The 19,386-nt window shown below is 39.8% G+C and overlaps 1 protein-coding gene across 51 annotated transcripts in view; it reads right to left on the bottom strand.

Annotated features, from left to right (window-relative positions):
* Positions 1–19,386, bottom strand: part of ZFX (zinc finger protein X-linked) — a 67,274-nt gene that overhangs the window by 37,785 nt on the left and 10,103 nt on the right. For 17 of the 51 annotated variants that reach the window (XM_011545581.3, XM_047442445.1, XM_047442451.1 and 14 more), the window contains one exon: positions 5,671–5,756. The exons of 2 other annotated variants lie outside the window; for them this stretch is intronic. In XM_011545581.3, coding sequence (XP_011543883.1) covers positions 5,671–5,728 — 58 coding nt within the window. In that variant the 5' untranslated portion in view covers positions 5,729–5,756. Of the gene's footprint in view, positions 1–604; positions 1,569–1,803; positions 2,007–3,027; positions 3,083–4,747; positions 4,865–5,670; positions 5,757–16,628; positions 16,757–17,894; positions 17,909–18,668; positions 18,870–19,386 lie in introns of those variants that run through there. 32 more of the 51 variants (NM_001330327.2, XM_047442440.1, XM_017029792.2 and 29 more) reach the window with 9 other exon arrangements.

Here is a 19,386-nt window from a genome sequence, read left to right as displayed (position 1 = left end):
AAAAATACAAAAAAATGAGCCGGGTGTGGTGGCGAGCGCCTGTAGTCCCAGTTACTTGGGAGGCTGAGGCAGGAGAATGGCGTGAACCCGGGAGGCAGAGCTTGCAGTGAGCCGAGATCACGCCACTGCACTCCAGCCTGGGCGACAGAGTGAGACTCCGTCTCAAAAAAAAAAAAAAAGAAAAGAAAAGAAAACCATACACATAGGTACTTAAGGGAAGATTACAAAAATTAATTAAGTAGGCCGGGCGCAGTGGCTCACGCCTGTAATCCCAGCACTTTGGGAGGCCAAGGCAGGTGGATCACAAGCTCAGGAGATTGAGACCATCCTGGCTAACACGGTGAAACCCTGTCTCTACTAAAAATACAAAAATTATCCGGGTGTGGTGGCGGGCACCTGTAGTCCCAGCTACTCGGGAGGCTGAGGCAGGAGAATGGCGTGAACCCGTGAGGCAGAGCTTGCAGTGAGCCGAGATCGTGCCACTGCACTCCAGCCTGGGTGACAGAGCAAGACTCTGTCTCTAAGTCTCTTAAAAAAAAAAAAAATTAAGTAATGCAACTTCAGGTGACAAACATACTATTTTCCTTCATTATATGTGTTTTACCTTTTTGCTCCACCTCCCTCTCCTCAACTCATATTTGTTCTTCTTTCCATCTCTCCCATGTGTTTCTTTTACTTCTATTTTTTTTCCTTTCTCCCTTCACACGCTTCCCTTTTTGTTCTGGTGCAATATACCACCAATATGCTCCATCTATGGCTATAGAAATTTAGAAATCATCCTCTGAATCTAGGACATACAAGGATCAAAGGATAAATTAAAAGAGGGACTAAAGACCACAGTTGAGGAGGAAAGACAACTGGGTTGAGGAGGCTCTGGAGACTGATAGGATAAATACAAGTGCAGCTGCGCTGGAGTGGTGGAGGTTGAGAGTAGTTGGAGCAGGAGCTGCCCCAACTTCACCAGGGTACGTTGCCTCCATCTAGCCTCCTCCCGTCCCCCTAGACCCGAACTCCCAAGGCAGTTCCTCGGAACATAGTTCCCCTACTCTAGTCCATTTTGCAGTTAAGGAATGAAGGTAGAGGACTGAATCAGTTGAAGCCCAGTGAGATTAAATGACTTAACCAAGATCACACAGTTTGCACAGTGTATGGTGCTCAGAAAATATTATTCTGAATGAATGTCACAAATGGAAATAGAATCAAATATCCTTATCAAAAATATAAAATAAAATAAAAGAAGGCTGGGCACAGTGGCTCACGCCTGTAATCCCAGCACTTTGGGAGGCCGAAGTGGGCAGATCCCGAGGTCAGGAGATCGAGACCATCCTGCCTAACACTGTGAAACCCTGTCTCTACAAAAAATACAAAAAATTAGCTGGGTGTGGTGGCACGTGCCTGTGGTCCCAGCTACTAGGGAGGCTGAGGCAGGAGAATTGCTTGAACCCAAGAGGCAGAGGTTGCAGTAAGCCGAGATTGAGCCACTGCACTCCAGCCTGGGTGACAGAGCAAGACTCCGTCTCAATAATTAATAAATAAATAAATAAAATATCTTGGCTTCTGTTCTACAGAAAAGCAAAGAAAGTTTTATAAGTCTTACCTACATAGCTATTCAGTAGATTAGTGCCTCTGGTTGACTCAGACCAGGCTGAGTCCAACCAGGTGCCTAACTCAATGACTATGTGTCACTGGCCAGGCCCTCAGAGAAATACACAGCTTAATCAACAACCAAAAATGATCAGGTCTGGCGTGGTGGCTCACGCCTTGTAATCCCAGCACTTAGGGAGGCCAAGGTGGGCAGATTACCTGAAGTCAAGGGTTCGAGACCAGCCTGGCCAACATTGTGAAACCCCGTCTCTACTAAAAATATAAAAATTAACCAGGCGTAGTGGTGCATGCCTGTAATCCCAGCTACTCGGGAGGCTGAAGCAGGAGAATCCTTGAACCCAGGAGACGGAGGTTGCATTGAGCCGAGATTGTATCACTGCACTCCAGCCTGGGCGACAGAGTAAGACTGTCTCAAAAAAAAAAAAAAAAAAAAAATCAAAGGCCAAAGAATATTAGAAATTATAGGAAGTCAACTAATATCTATTTTAATTACATCTAGAAATAATAAAAAGAATATGTTCACTTTAGGCTGGGAACGGTGGCTCACACCTGTAATCCCAGCACTTTGGGAGGCCAAGGCAGGCGAATCACCTGAGGTCAGGAGTTCGAGACCAGCCTGACCAACATGGAGAAACCCCATCTCTACTAAAAATACAAAATTAGCCGGACATGGTGGCGCATGCCTGTAATCCCAGCTACTCAGGAGGCTGAGGCAGGAGAATCATTTGAACCCGGGAGGCAGAGGTTGTGGTGAGCAAAGATCGCGCCATTGCACTCCAGCCTAGGCAACAAGAGCAAAACTCCATCTCAAAAAAAAAAAAAAAAGAGTATGTTCACTTTAATTTCTACAGAATTTCTACAAAATGCTTTAAACTTGTTTTCAATATCCACAATATTATCATTAAGTAATAGATCACTAATCTCCATTTAGCATACATAAAGATGAAAGCATCTAGTGGCAAGAGCACTGGTTATAAAACGTAAATCAGCCGGGCGCGGTGGCTCACGCCTGTAATCCCAGCACTTTGGGAGGCCGAGGCAGGCGAATCACTTGAGGTCAGGAGTTCAAGACCAGCCTGGTCAACATGGCAAAACCCCATCTCTACTAAAAATACAAAAATTAGCCGGGCATGGTGGTCTGCACCAGTAATCTCAGCTACTTGGGAGGCTGAGACAGGAGAATCACCTGAACCAGGGAGGTGGAGGTTGCAGTGAGCAGAGATCATGGCCACTGTACTCCAGCCTGGGCAACAGAGCAATTCTCCATCTCAAAAACAAAACCAAAAAAAAACCAAAATCTAAATCAGAGAGTACATCAGGGTAGGACACTTATTAGTTTTGTGACCTTGGGCAAGTCATTCAACCTCTGAGTTTCAGTTTCCTCATCAGTAAAATGAGGACAGTAGTATCTGCCATGCATACCTCACAGGACTGTGGTGATGATCAAATGGGAATGTATGGGAAGTGTTCTGAAAAACTGTAATGAGAGGTTTCATTATTATTATGACATATGAAAACGGAGGCCCTGGCAGATTAAGTGACTTGCTCAAAGATAAACAAATACCATTAAGTGTTATCAATCAAGACTAAAACGCAATAGCCCTTCAATCTACCACTTAGTCCATTACCTAGGTTTGCCTGTGGCAAGATTAAGTGAACAAACACTGCACATTTTTCTCCAAAGAGTTTAGTCTCTTTCAAGTATATTACTTATATTTCATGTTCCAAGGAAGAAAGAATTATAAACCTTACATTTATCATTATCAAATTGAAATTACCAAACGAGTTAAAAGAGTATCCCAAGTTGTTAAGAAACACACACACATCCCCACTGGATTTAGAGATTCAAGAAAATTTTAAAATTTGACCGAGCACAGTGGCTCACACCTGTAATCCCAGCACCATGAGAGGCCAAGGTGGGAGGAGCACTTGTTCGAGACCAGCCTGGGCAACATAGCGAGACCCCGTCTCCACAAAAAATAAAATTAGCTGGGCTTGATGGCGCCCATCTGTAGTCCAAGGTACTCAGAAGGCTGAGGTAGGAGGATCCCTTGAGCACAGGAGTCTGAAGTTACAATGAGCTATAATCATGCCACCGTACTCTAGCCCAGGCAACAGGGTGAGACCCTGCCGCTAAAAGAAAAATAAAATAATAATAAAAAGAAAATTTTAGGGCCAGGTGCGGTGGCTCACCCCTGTAATCCCAGCACTTTGGGAGGCCGAGGCAGGCGAATCACGAGGTCAAGAGATCGAGACCATCCTAGCCAACATGGTGAAACCCCGTTCTACTAAAAATACAAAAAAATTAGCTGGGCGTGGTGGTGCACACCTGTAGTCCCAGCTACTCGGGAGGCTGAGGTAGGAGAATCACTTGAACTCGGGAGACAGAGGTTGCAGTGAGCCGAGATCATGCCACTGCACTCCAGCCTGGTGACAGAGTAAGACTCCGTCTCAAAAAAAAAAAAAAAATTTTAATTTAAAATCACTGACATTTAATTTCCTGATAAAGTTGATTGCTATTTCTTTAATATACTACAATCTGATCATTTACAGTCCAATGGAAAACTTATTAGCATTTTATTTATAATAAGGGGTAGCTACCTGGTGTGATATAAAACCCTTTTATTTTTTATTTTTATTTTTTTTCTCTTTTGAGACTGCGTCTCGTGCTATCACCCAGACTGGAGTGCAGTGGTGCGATCTCAGCTCACTGCAACCTCCGCCTCCCAGATTCAACCGATTCTCAGGCCTCAGCCTCCCGAGTAGCTGGGATTACAAGTGTGCACCACCACACCCAGATAATTTTTTTGTATTTTTAGTAGAGACGGGGTTTCACCATGTTGGCCAGGTTGGTCTTGAACTCCTGGCCTCAAGTGATCCACCCACCTCAGCCTCCCAAAGTGCTGGGATTACATGTGCGAGCCATCGTGTCTGGCCTCAAATCCCTTTTATGTTATAAAACCAAGTATAGGCCAGGCATGGTGGCTCACGCCTGTAATCCCAATACTTATAGGAGACCGAGGCAGGCAGATCACATGAGCCCACGGGTTCAAGACCAGCCTGGGCAACGTGGCAAAACCCCGTCACTACCCAAAAAAAAAAAAAAAAAATACAAAAGTTAGCCAGACATTGTGGCACACACCTGTAGCCCCAGTTACTCGGGAAGCTGAGCAGATCACTTGAGCCTGGGAGGCGGAGGTTGCAGTGGACCCAGATGGCGCCACTGTGCTCCAGCCTGGGTGACAGAACGAGACCCTGTCTGAAAACAAAAAAACCCAAAACGCAAGTGTAACCACTTTACAACGTTATATAATTATAACCATGGGTAATCTGAAATACATGTTTTCTAATACTGTTTTTTTTCCTATTTTTAGAACTTCCTGAGTATAATTTTTCCTTGTACACTATGGGGAGTGAAGACTCCATCTTCCTGAAGCAGAAGTCTCTTTTTGGGAACTTGCAAGAGAGAGAGTTATAAAAATAGGACAGGGTCAATGTGGGAGACCTTCTTTATCTACTGGGTATTAGAGAATAGAGAAATGACAGGATCCACATGTTATTTTACAGTGAGTACTCTGATCAGCAGGCTAGATAAGAGAGACTAAGGATAAGGAAAATAATGCAAAAGTTATTTCCAGACTAAGAATGAGACGTAGAGCCTGTCTATGTGGTAGGCACTAGGATGAAGAAGAGCAGATGTAAATAAAGAATATTTTTTCTTTTTCTTTTTTTAAACAAAGGTCCAAACAAAGCTAACAAGGAATATTTTCAAAGGGAAAAACAACAGGAATTAGGGACATAACTCGTCAAGATATTATCTTCATAACTGAAGATAAAACTAAGGTTTGATATTGCTGCTGTTACTGACAAGAATATGAGAGTTGGTTGTGAGGGAGCCACATCTTTGAGGAGGGTAATAATAATGTGCTCACCGTAACACCTGTGAATTTTGACAGGATAACAAGATAACCTGTGAATGATCAATGTGAGAGTTCTAGCAATTCATTGATGACAACCAACTCCAAATCTGGTAGATGGGAAGTGGAACAATTCAAGTAGTTATACCTGTTGCATCAAAAAATGAGTTTGGCTCTTGTTGTAATTCAAGCCCATCTTCATCCATGGCCTTTAATTCTCATCAGTCACAGCTCCTAAATCAGGGAAAAAAGTAAACCAAAGCCATTAGTTTTTTCATATCAGGTATTAAATGCCATCATGATAGTTTCATTTCTGAGACACTCAAATTATGTGAAAGATAAATGTGTATCAAAAACTTACTTATCTAAAGTAAAATAGAACTTACTTGATTTACAATGATAAATGGGCATCTATATGACAAAGCAGGGCAGATAAACAAGTCAACTTTGCCTGGACTTCTTTTTAAGTTGAAGCAATAAATGTATTGCTTAGGTCTATCAAGTGCACACATCTTGATGAATTCTAATACATACATAAACTTTTGTAATCACTACCCTGATCAAAATATAGAACGCTTTTAAGACCCCAGCACTCTTGTGTCCTCAGTCTGTAACACCCCATGTTCCCACAAGGGTAACCAGTTGTGTTAAGATTCAACTTAAAATACATTCTGTAGCTTACTGGGGGAAATTTTTGCACAATTTTCATATTCTCTATATGTAATTAGTCTACTAACTTCCAACCAGTAGATTACACAATGATAAAAATTCAAAGTGCATAACTGTAGTAAACAACCCTTGGGATTCTGCCTAACCTCTCTTAACTAACCCTCTCATCTAGAGAAGTAAATTCCCATAGTGTATTTATATTCTCCTGGCCACAGTTGATTGGCACTAGCTATAAAACGGTAAACAGTAAGCTCATCTTTAAGCACAATAAAATCAAAGTCCTATCCCTGAGAATCCAAAACCATGAGCAAGAATCAGTGTCTGTCTGTCTGTCTGCCTCTCTCTCTCTCTCTCTCTCTCTCTCTCTCTCTCTCCTTCTCTCTCTGTCCTGGTGGCTGGAACATAAGAGCTGAGAAAAGTCATTTTGCAACTCTGGCTTAGACTGTGAGTGCCTTGAGTAACAGAATAGAGTAAGCAGGGAGGGGAGACAGCTGTTTAGCTCCTGGTTCTAGACCTATCTGAGGTCCAGCTATATTCCTGCCTTGAATTCTTGTAAGACATTCCAATGGCCTTAATTCTCCCTTTTCTACTTAAGCCAAAAACTTCTGACAAAAAGAACTCTAACCAATAATTTTCACCTTTACCGCTTTTTTTTGCTGATTTTATAAGTACTACATGCTTATTAAAATTTCAATTAACAGAAACACAAGTCATTTTTCTAAAGCTAGGTGACATCATTCCTCTGTTCAAAAATGTTTAATGGCTTCTTGCTCCCTCTAAATAAAATTCAAACACCTGTCATCTTCTAAGTTCTGGCCCCAAACTACCTTCCCATCATCATCTCCCCTAACTTTCCTTCAAGCACTTCCCTCTACCACTGTCAGCATGTACACAAACACATGGTCCCCACCCACACAAAGTTCAGCCAAACAAAAATGCTCAACATCCCCATAAAACCCCAACTTCATATTTGATTCAGGGATCCTTCTACCTGGAACCCCTTTCCCCCATTATCTCTGCTTTGATCTTTCCCTCTAAATCTCCTTCCCCACAAAAAAAAGAGAAAGCTGGAAACAATTTTTCCCTCTGAAATTTCCACAGCACTCTATTCTTCTCTTATTGTACTGGTTTGTCATATTATGATTATTTATATATGTCTTACTTACAGATACTAAATTACATATATAGTCCTTAAAAAAATCCATTAACATGGAATAGTAATGGAAATATCCATTAAATGTTAATTGAGAAAATTAACATTCATAAAAGGAATTCTCAACATACCAACTCTGAGATATATTCTACTCATTTTTAAGAAATAGCATGTTTCATGTTATTTATTCAAACTGTTTCAAATAAAAGTAAATGGGCTGGGCATGGTGGCTAACGCCTGTAATGCCAGCACCGTGGGAGGCCGAGGTGGGTAGATCACCTGAGGTCAGGCGTTCGAGACCAGCCTAGCCAACACGGCGAAACCCCTCCTCTACTAAGATACAAAAAAATTAGCAGGGTATGGTGGCGCATGCCTGTAATCCCAGCTACTCAGGAGGCTGAGGCAGGAGAATCGCTTGAACCCGGGATACGGAGGTTGCAATGAGCCAAGATCATGCCATTGCACTCCAGCCTGGGCCATAGAGCAACACTCCGTCTCAAAAAAAAAAAAAAAAAAAATTAAAGAAAAAAAATTAAAGCAAATGAAAAACAGAAAGTGTACATGCTCTGAAAAAGTTATTACTGCCCCACTCCCGCAAAACCACCTCTGGCTATAGAATACCTTTTCCCCCTTTTAAAAATGATAAACGTAAATTAATCTTCTAAGCATTGGCTGGACGTGGTGGCTCACATCTGTAATCCCAGCACTTTGGGAGGCTGAGACGGGTGGATCACCTGAGGTCAGGAGTTCGAGACCAGCCTGGCCAACATGGCGCAACCCCATTGCTACTAAAAATACAAAAATTAGCCAGGCGTGGTGGTAGGTGCCTGTAATCCCAGCTACTCAGGAGGTTGAGGCAGGGAGAACTACTTGAATCCGGGAGGTGGAGGTTGCAGTGAGCCAAGATTGCGACACTGCACTCCAGCCTGGGCAACAGAGCGAGACTCTGTCTCAAAAAAAAAAAAAAAAATTCTAAGCATTATGAAACACTATGACATTAAAGCAAGCCAATTAAGAAGGCAATAAAGGGGATACATTAAGGTATTTAAGCCCCTCACCGCACAAATTTCCCTACATAAACCCAATCCCATCAGCTCTACGGATTCTCAACTTGCAGAACAACTTTTCTTGGCATTCATCCTCCTTGGCATTTCTATTAAACAATCAACTCCCTAATTTGTGAAGTGCTCTCCTTCCTCTGTTGCTTTAAGTGACTTCTAGTTCTCTTCCCTCTTCTTAACTGCTGGCTGCTCACCCTCCCCTCACCCCTTACTGCGGCTCAGCCCAGGTGTGTGCTCAACCCTCTCCTCTTCTGCTTTCTCTTTATTCCCATGGTTTCAACTACTATTTCCACAACAATGATTCCTACAATCATCCTAACATGTCCAACAGACTGTTGAATATTCTCATCCGGATAAAACCCAGCCTTCTCCTGATATGACCACTATGGCCTTTTTCTTCTTCTCTGCTCACAGTCAGATTGCCAGATCTTGTCAATTCTCAACTTCTCAAGAATCTTTTTTTTTTTTTTTTAATTCCTAGTTAGCATTCCCACTCAGCTTCATATTTCCTGATCCCTGGGGGATGAAAATAGCCTCTGGACTGGCCTTGCTCCTTTCTGCCACTCCCACAACAAATGACTAGAAACCCTAAAACTACACGTAAGGGCTGGTGCCAAGTATTGAGGCATTTCTGCAATCTGTAGGCAAATTAACCCTCCTGAAGCACTGCTTTGATCATACTACTTCCCTGCTCTGAACACTTCAGCAGTTCCTCAATACTCAAAGGCTCTGCAGTATTAACCCAAGCTACCATTAACAGACTGATTTGCTTTCTTCCCATCCTTTTACATCACGTGCATTTCCTAATAGATATTCTGGCCTACATGGGGGTGCCCGCTCATCTCATCTTAAGTGAGCAGTAATTATTCAACAAACTATTGTTTTGCCTGGTCATTTTCCCTTCGGTTTTGTCATTACAAAAATTCAAACATTCTAAACAGAGATGACTATACCTCAACTTTGTAACCCCTCTGGAGTTAGAATACTAACTCCCTTTGACAATCAGAATGAAACTGTTCTCAGAACAGAACCTACTCAGAGGAGTTCTCAGATATGATAAACGAAGGGTGGAAGAAGGTACGTGATAATGTAACTGGCGGTGTCCATGCCTTTGTAGTACAAACCAAGCCCAGAGATCAGTTGAACCTAAAGACAAATAAGTAGGATGGTTCAGAGAACCAAGAATCTCAGAATTTGGGTGAACAAGTACTAACATTTAGTCTTACTATCAAACGCCCTCAAGGTATTTCTGGGACTCTACTAACACCTCAAACTCAGTAAGATATTCCCTTCCCAGTTACGAGAATCATGATCCTGAAAATAATTCACAGTGGAAAAACATAGTTTTTGGGAACAGACTGTGAGGACAGAAAGTAAAAAAAAAAAAAAAAAAAGAAAGAAAGAAAAGAAAAACATATAGTTTTGAGGGAAATAATGGGCTAGGAGAACCCAGGAAATTCACAAAAATGTCCTTCCATTCTTTAAAGCAATATCATCCTAGAAGAAGGTAATTATAAATAAAATATATAATAAAGCAATAAAAGTTAACAGGTATAGCAATGGCATTTTATCTATCTTAAATTAGGGATCACAGATATAATTTATTTGTTTTATATATTTTGATGCTTAGATACTTCTGTGATCTCCCTCTTGGGCAAGTTAACAGGATTCTTATTTATTCACTTTGCTTTTTGCAGCTAATATGCATATAAAAATCACTTTTCTGCTTTAGGTCTCCCAAAACCTCACTGCCTGTTAATTCTATGACTCAACTCTAATTCTTCTCACTAAGTCACACTCAGAGAACTAAATTTTATTATACATGGTAGAAGGAATGCTTAAGCTGCAGGAAAGGCAAACAAAGGCAAATGTGTCTATAACAATTTGTCTTAGAGGGAAATCAGAACTGGTGAAAACTTATATTTAAGGCCTAATTAATATCTTCTCTCTTAAGCTGCATTTCTTTCCTAATTTTTCCCCCATGTTGTTCAATGTTAGCCATCATTTCTCCAGATATCTCATTTTCAAATCTGGAGTCATATTTCTCTTCTCTGACTCTATCAGCCCTTAAATTAAATTCATCTCAAAGCCAGTAACTCTTATACTTATCACTTCCTCTTTATTATCACTGCTACCACTCTAACAAGTTCTCTTCTCACATGCAGACCATGTGGGGCCTTTCAATCAAAAGACTTAAGCCCTTCTTGAACTTAGGAAAGTTTCTTGTTGTTTCTATACTTTCCTCCATTTTCTCTGTTCATTCTTACTAGCATTTATTACAGGATGTAAAAAGGCTACTAAATCTAGCTTCTATATTGCTTTAACTTTTCTCTCAGATTTTGTCTTTCTACTACACTCTCAGAGAATCCCTGAATTCTTTCTTCTAAGCTAGCTAATTTGATCTCCACCCCATCTACTGAATTTTTCTTTAAAAGTTCATATTTTAATTCTAATAGTTTCTTTTCCATAGCAATCTTTTCTTTTTTGGGTGGACACGGTATCTTCCCAAATCTCTCTGTGGATTTAAAGTTCATTCTGTACCCTATATAAACTGTCTCCTCTGGTGTTTCATTATTCAGTTAGTTGAATTTGGTGCCTCTCTTTTAAACTGCTGGTTTTCCTGAAAAGCATGGTTCTTCCTGGTTGTCTATTCCTACTTGTAGATGAGGGTCCAGACTAGAGTTATATTCTGACTGCTGGGGTGAACTTCTTCAGCCCAAGTGATAATTCCTGTTTGCCCAACAATAAACTTAAATTCAGATCACAGAAGTCCTATCTAGAATGAGTCCATAGGCGAGAAAGGAGCCATGTAACCAGCCAGGTTCTCCTTTAATGGTGGAAGAGTATCCCATCTTCCAGGTGCTGGAGGTTCAATATCCTTCAGGATAGCCACAAGCTACCTAAACTACTGCCCCTATCTTTCTTGCTATACAGCACTCACTTTGGAATTTCCTATGGACAAACAAGCAATTCAGAGAGCTGAATTTTGGGCATTATCCCAGCAGGAAAACCATTGCGGGCACCTATACTAATAGGTAAATGGCTTAGCTTTCCATGGCTTTAATTATCTGGCTGTACTCATGGCTTGTTCTATCTCCAAGTGCCTCCCTGCTTTTGATGTTGGTGGTACTGCAGGATGCCAATTCTTGGCTGGTCCCTTCTACTTTCTGAATAAGGTCACACGTTCACTAAGCTCTCTTGGGTTTTGACATTAATTGATTTCCAATTGCTTTATTCAACCAAAAATTCATCATATTCTGATTCATACCACTGAGGTTTTCTTGTTTCTCTGGATTTGTTTTTATATTCTTTATGTGATTTTAGAAGGAAGAAAAAATAAGTGTGTGTGTTCTCTAGTCTATGTTGAATTTGAAGTCATTATGCATTTTTATGTGCCAAATAAAACAGCATGGAAATATGTAAATATAAAAAAAGCAAAAGAACCTATGAGACAGTAATAAAAAAAATCAATAGTAGTGGAAGGTTACAACAACTATCAACACTTAACAGATCAACTAGTCTAAAAGGAAAAGAGAAAATGTATATAATCGATATTAATCTAATAACTGTAATTCAAGTTCCATTCTCTAAGAAAAGAATATTTTATTTTCAAATAGCCCTGCCTACTCCACGTCAAGAAGAGGAAAAGAAAATATCTGCTGTTGTAAATAGAGCCCCATCCTTCCTTGCCCTGTCCCATCTGGAACTTTTGTAGGCTTTGCTCAAATAGTCAAGGCCAAGTTTTTGTATTAGTTTTTCCATAAAACCACGCTGAGCCAATCAGTAATTTCAAGGTTTTGTTTGTTTAAAATCTAAGAGTCCAAACTTTCACAATCTATTAAAACTTGGCTGTAAAATGACAAACCTTCTTAAAGCCTATTTTCTCAAAGCTTCTATTCCTGCTCAGATTAAGAGTTGACACAATACTCTCTGAACCTACTTGTACCAATGAGCTACAAACACTAGTTTTAAATGCTTTTGTTTTTAAGGCTTAGCTTGATGTGAGGAAATGCACACATTCTAACTAGTTTTCAGATATTTAAAGCAGTACAGCCTCCTTAATAAAGTACTGCCATTTAATGCATTCAATAATTTAGCAATATCCATGTTCATTCCATAACATTCTACCATATATCATAATGGAATGAGTAAAACAACTCAACTCTTTGGATCACTCTTTTATTTCATAGTGAAAAACTTTAAAATAGCTTATTAGTTTTTGCTGAAATTCTGAAAAGAAATTCTATTCACGTTTCCTCTACTGAAGTATTCTACCTTTAGTTGCAGACTTAGTTCGAGCAGTGTGAGAAACACTTGATGTAATCAAAGGATGAAGACAGGATTCTGACATGGTATCAAGTGGAGATTTAGACTACATTGTACATGGAATAAATGAAATAAAACCATCCTAGGTAAAATTTTTAAAAGGTTAATTTCTGTCAAATGCAGTACATGATGAAGAAAGGTTTAAGTATCAGAAACTGTTTTCTTATACATTTCCTTTTTCTTGCACCTGCTACCTTTCCCAAAATTGGGCATTTAATTTATCTCTGAACTAGTCATTAACATAGTTGTTAACTTAGTAAGTTTTCTTATCAAACCCCTTCTCAATGAGCAATATGTCTCCTTGTATTAGAAAATCTTTCTGGCCGGGCGTGGTGGCTCACGCCTATAATCCCAGCACTTTGGGAGGCCGAGGCTGGCGGATCACAAGGTCAGGAGATCGAGAACATCCTGGCCAAGATAGTGAAACCCTGTCTCTACTACAATACAAAAAATTAGCCAGGCGTGGTGGCACGTGCCTGTAGTCCCAGCTACTCAGGAGGCTGAGGCAGGGGAACTGCTTGAACTCAGGAGGCAAAGGTTGCAGTGAGCCAAATTCATGCCACTGCACTCCAGCCTGGTGATAGAGCGAGACTCCGTCTCAAAAAAAAGAAAGAAAAGAAAATATTTTTCTGATACTGTATTAGGATTTGGGGTTTTTTTAAATTAGTGCAGTCTCGCTTTCATGTTACTTTATTCAAGCTAATTATGTGCTTTCCTTCATTTTCTGGTAACTAGTTGTAAAAATCATGCCTTGCAGGTTTACAGTTTTCAAAACACTCTAAATTTTTTTTTTTTTTTTCAGACGGAGTTTCACTCTTGTTGCCCAGGCTGGAGTGCAACATCGCCATCTCAGCTCACTACAATCTCTGCCTCCCAGGTTCAAGCAATTCTCCTACCTCAGCCTCCCAAAAGTAGCTGGCATTTACAGGCATGCACCACCACGCCTGGCTAATTTTTTGTATTTTTTACTAGTAGAGACAGGGTTTCACCACGTTGGCCAGGCTGGTTTCGAACTCCTGACCTCAGGTGATCCACCCGCCTCAGCCTCCCAAAGTGCTGGGATTACAGGTGTGAGGCACCGTGCCCAGCCCTAAATATTCTTAAACTATGATCTTTCTTAACATAATTGTCTTGCCAACTCCCTTGTCACTGATCACCAACGCTGTAATTTGACCCATATTGACCATACTATATCTCACCTACATGAATGCATACTTACTATTATTGCTTTTCCTAAATACATTACTTTCGGCCTATGAGGTTCTGTAAACTCAGTGTTAACACTTACAGTATTCTCTGTATACCTTAAGCACTGGCAAGAATATAACACTGGGCCTTTCAACAACTAGAACAAATATTTTAAATGGACAGTTCCAGAATTGTGGGGTATTTTTACATTGATCTTTTGCTAATGCAATCAGCAATGTGTTTTGCACATGGAATTTAATAAATCCTTTAATCATTAAAAAAATAATAAAAGAAAAGAACAAGCTGGGCAATGCAGGGGCAGGTTTGAAATACGCCTGCTTCTCAAAAGACCAACAACAGGCATGCTCCAGGTTGAGTATCAGCAACCATTAATTTCATGACCATTCTCTGGAGCAAAGCTAGGGAGCCAGCTAATTTTTACCCCAAAAAAATCTCCAAACCAAGCTTTTTCCAGGGGGTTGGGAAGACAATAAAATACAAGATAATAATCTAAAAGAGGGGAAGAAACTGGGAGAAAGCACAAACATATACAATTTGAAATAAGAAAAAAAAAAAACAGAAAAAAAGAAAACAACTTGTATGAAAATGGTCTAGAATTCTACACTAGCACAGTGACGGAAAATGTAAATTACCAGCATTAACTCAATAAAAGAAAACCCGATCGTAATGAATTTTTTTTTTTTTTTTTTTCTTTTTTTTAAAAGAGGGGGCCTGGGCACAGTGGCTCACACCCGTAATCCCAGCGCTTTGGGAAGCCAAGGCAGGAGATCACTTGCAGCAAGGAGTTCAAGACCAGCCTGGACAAAATAGCTAGACTCCATCTTGACAAAATAATTTTAAAAATTAGCTAGGCGGCCGGGCATGGTGACTAATGCCTGTAATCCCAGCACTTTGGAAGGCTGAGGTGGGTGGATCACCTGAGGTCAGGAGTTCGAGACCAGCCTGGCCAACATGGTGAAACCCCATCTCTACCAAAAATACAAAACTTAGCTGGGCGTGGTTGCTCGCGCCTGTAGTCCCAGCTACTCAGGAGGCTGAGGCACGAGAATCACTTGAACCCAGGAGGCAGAGGTTGCAGTGAGCCAAGATCGCGCCATTGCACTCCAGCCTGGGCGACAGAGTGAGACTCTGTATCAAAAAAAAAAAAAAAAAAAAAAAAAAAAAAACCTAACAAAAATAATTTAACCAAATTACAAACTTGGTTAATTATGAATCCCAAGTCAAGTATCCGCAAATATGATCCGTCATGTAAAAAAAAAAAAAAAAAAAAAAGCACATCCATGTACATGTACACACACACACACACACACCACAGACCTTGGCACAGTATGGGTACTCTAGAATTCAAGGATGGAGCCAAATAATGGCCCAAATTAATAGGTCAAAAAAAAAAACGCCTGATATTCTCAACAGATGCTGAAAAGTTGAAACTGAACGCCTACTTTTGATTTAAAGCAAACTTTTGAGTCAAATTGGGATAGATATTTTAACAGTTAACAAATTAAATAAATAGGATACACGCTAAAACATGGATGACCTTGAAAACAATATGCTAAGTGAAAGGAGCCAGACACGAAAGACCACGTTATAGGATTCCATTTATATGAAACGTCAGGAACAAGCAAATCCACACAGACAGAAGGTAGATTAGTGGTTGCTAGGGGATGAAGGAAGCGGGGAGAGGAGAGTGATTACCAGTAGGTGTAGGGTTTCTTTTTGGGGTGACGAAAATGTTCTAATTAGTGATAATAGTTACAGAACTCTGAATCTACTAAAAAACCACTGAAATGTACATTTTAAAGGGTAGATTTAATAATAGCTTTATCTCAATAAAGCTGTTTAAAAAATACTCAAGTATATGCAATCTTAAACCAGTTCATGTCAGAACATGTGTTTTGGGATATGAGAATGATGTCAGTTATCACTTTATAACAAAAAGACATCTATTAAACCTAAGGTAAAACATTAGAAGTATTCTCTCTAAAGTCAAAATTAAGAATGGCCATTAATACTATTATTATAGGATTGTGTGACAAATGCCAGCCAGTGTAATTAGGTAAGATGATGAAATAGAAGATATAATTATTACTTGAAGGAAATTAAACTTATTTGCATATGCTATATCTAGGAAATACAAGAGAATCAACTGAAAAACTATTATCGGTATGAATTCATAAGGTGTGCTGGTACAAAATTAATATACTTGAAGACAAAAGCTTTCTCATGTAAACACCTAAGAATGAAAAAATCCCACTGATAAGAGTAATTAAAAACTCTACTGTGTGGGATTTTTTTGTTTTTTGAGACAGAGTTTCACTCTTGTTGCCCAGGCTGGAGTGCAATGGCACGATCTCAGCTCACCACAACCTCTGCCTCCCAGGTTCAAGCGATTCTCCTGCCTCAGCCTTCCAAGTAGCTGGGACTACAGGCATGTGCCACCACGCCCAGCTAGAGATTTCTTTTTTTTTTTTTTTTCCTTTTTAGACAAATAAATAGAGAAAGCAATCTTGCTCTTGAATATGTTACATTAGGGCCAGGTGCAATGGCTCACACCTGTAATCCCAGCACTTTGGAAGGCTGAGGCAGGTAGATCACTTGAGGTCAGGAGTTCGAGACCAGGCTGGCCAACATGGTGAAACCCCGTCTCTACTAAAAATACAAAAGCTAGGCAGACATGGGGGCGCACACCTGTAATCCCAGCTACTCGAGAGGCTGAGGCAGAAGAAGAATCACTTGAACACAGAAGGCAGAGGCTGCAGTGAGCCAAATTTGCACCACTGCACTGCATTCCAGCCTGGATGACAGAGGAAGACTGTCTTTAAAAAAAAAAAAAAAAAAGAAAGAAAAAGAAAAAAAAGAATATGTTAGATTAGTAGTATCACTTCTCCCTTAATTAACCTCTACATTCAATCAAAATCCCAATACACCTTTCTTTAAATCAACTGACCTTGTATGTGTAGGTCAACTTTTGGACTCTATCCTGTGCCACTGGTCAATCTGGCTTTGCGCCCACTAATTTAATCACTGTAGCTTTATAATAAGTGTTGATATATGTTAGTGTTAAGTCTTCCAACTTTTTCTCAAGATTGCCTTTGCCATTCTTGGCCCTGTGCCTTTCCATGTAAATTTGAGAACTAGCCTATCCAAAAGAAAAAAAAGCAGCAGTGGCAGCAGCAACAGCCCTATTGAGATATTTATTGCGATTGCACTGAATTTCTGTATGTATCAATTTAGAGAGAACGGACATCTTTACAATACTGACACTTCCAATCCAATGAACATGGTTATCTCTTGCCATTAATTTAGGTCTTCTTTCATTTCTCTTAGTAAGGTTTTTACTGAAGGTCTTGGTATGCTTTGTTGGATTTATTTCAAGGTATCAGATGTTTTTTGACCTTATTATAAATTATATTAGTTTTCAAATTTGATTTTCAAATTGTTTGCTGCTGGTATAGAGAAACAGAGTTGATTTTTGCATCTCAATGTTCCCCAAGTATAATACAATAAAATTAGAAATAAATATCACAGAGATAACAGTAATACAAAAAGAAAATCCTGTAAATACAAAGTTCTAAATAATTTTAATGGGCAACAGGAAAATTATGGAGATCACAATATATTTAGAACTAAATAATAAAAACCAATTCATGTCAAAAATCATAGTATCCAGAGATAGGGACAGTTTGGTTAACAGATACAAATTATAGCTAAATAGGGGGAATAAGTTCTAGTGTTCTATAGCACTGTAGGGTGATTATAGTTAAAAATAATTCATTATGTATTTTCAAATATCTAGAAGAAAGGATTCTGAACGTTCCCAACACAGAGAAATGATAAATGCTGGTGTGACAGATATGCTAATTACCCTGATTTGACCATTACACATTGTATACATGTACATAATCACTCTACCCCATAAATACGTGTATTTCGGCTGGGCTCAGTGGCTCACACCTGTAATCCCAGCACTTTGTGAGGCCGAGGCAGGTGGATCACCTGAGGTCAGGAGTTTGAAACCAGCCTGGCTAACATGGTGAAACCCCGTCTCTACTAAAAATACAAAAATTAGCCAGGTGTGCTGGTGCACGTCTGTAATCCCAGCGACTCAGGAGGCTGAGGCAAGAGAATCGCTTGAACCCGGGAGGCAAAGGTTACAGTGAGCCGAGAGTGCGCCACTGCACTCCACCTTGGGCGACAGAGCGAGACCCGCTCTCAAAAAAAAAAAAAAAAAAGCATTTCAATTTTTTTAAATAGCATCCAATTATAGTCTAGAGAAAATTTTATAGTTTTTAGTATATATATTATAAAAATAGATTAAATATGAATGAGCTAAGCCTCTAACTTACATTTTTAAATGTCAGAATGAATGCAAATAAAGCAGAAGGAAAATATTAACCACAGGAGTAGAAATAGAAAGGATCAATAAAAATAACTATGTTAAAAAATCCAATAATAAAGGCAGTTACTGGCAATACTGATCAGAAAAAAAGGAACAAACTAACAAAATTAGGTTTTTAAAAGTCATCAGGGAAATCTGTATTTTATAATAATGCATTTGAAATTTAATATTTTTCTAGAAAATTGTTCATTTTGTATAAATGACCAAAAAAACTCAAGAACAGCTAAAACAAGACTTATCATCATGAAAGAAACAATTAACAAATCAGAAACCACAAATTTACACTCAAAAGACACCAAGCACAGATAATCTCACAGATGGGTTCTTACTTTTAAGAAACAGATCGTCTCGCTCGGACACGGTGGCTCATGTCTGTAATCCCAGCACTTTGGGAGGTCAAGGTAGGCCCATCACCTGAGGTCAGGAGTTCGAGACCAGACCTGAGGCCTGGCCAACATGGTGAAACCCATCTCTACTAAAAACTACAAAAATTAGCCAGGCATGGTGGCGGGCACCTGTAATCCAGCTACTCAGGAGGCTGAGGCAGGAGAATCACTTGAACCAGGGAGGCAGAGATTGCAGTGAGCCGAGATCGTGCCACTGCACTCCAGCCTGGGCGACAAGAGAGAGATTCTGTCTCCAAAAAAGAAAAGAAACAGATTGTCTCTATTAAACAGCAACTGTTTAAAAGAAAAAAGAAAAAAATACTCCCCAATTTATCTTATGAGGTTAATACAACTTTGTTATCCAAACAAGATTACATAAAAAAGGAAAAGTACATGGCAATAACAAAGATATGCGAATATCCGGGAATCGAAAAATAGTTTAAAATAGAAAATGTAGGACCCACGCTGTAGCTCACGCCTATAATCCCAGCTCTTTTGGAGGCCCAGGCAGGACAACTGCTTGAGACCAGGAGTTCAAGACTAGCCTGTGCAACAAGGCAAGACCGTCTCTACAAAAAAATTAAAAAATCAGGCCAGCATGGTGGCACATGCCTATGGTCCCAGCTACTTGGGAGGCTGAGGTGGGAGGATGGCTTGAGCC

Source organism: Homo sapiens, chromosome X, assembly GCF_000001405.40.
Source record: "Homo sapiens chromosome X, GRCh38.p14 Primary Assembly".
Classification (NCBI taxonomy): Eukaryota; Metazoa; Chordata; class Mammalia; order Primates; family Hominidae; genus Homo; species Homo sapiens.
The sequence above is the reverse complement of the archived record's forward strand: the minus strand, read 5'-3'. Positions and strand labels throughout refer to the sequence as shown.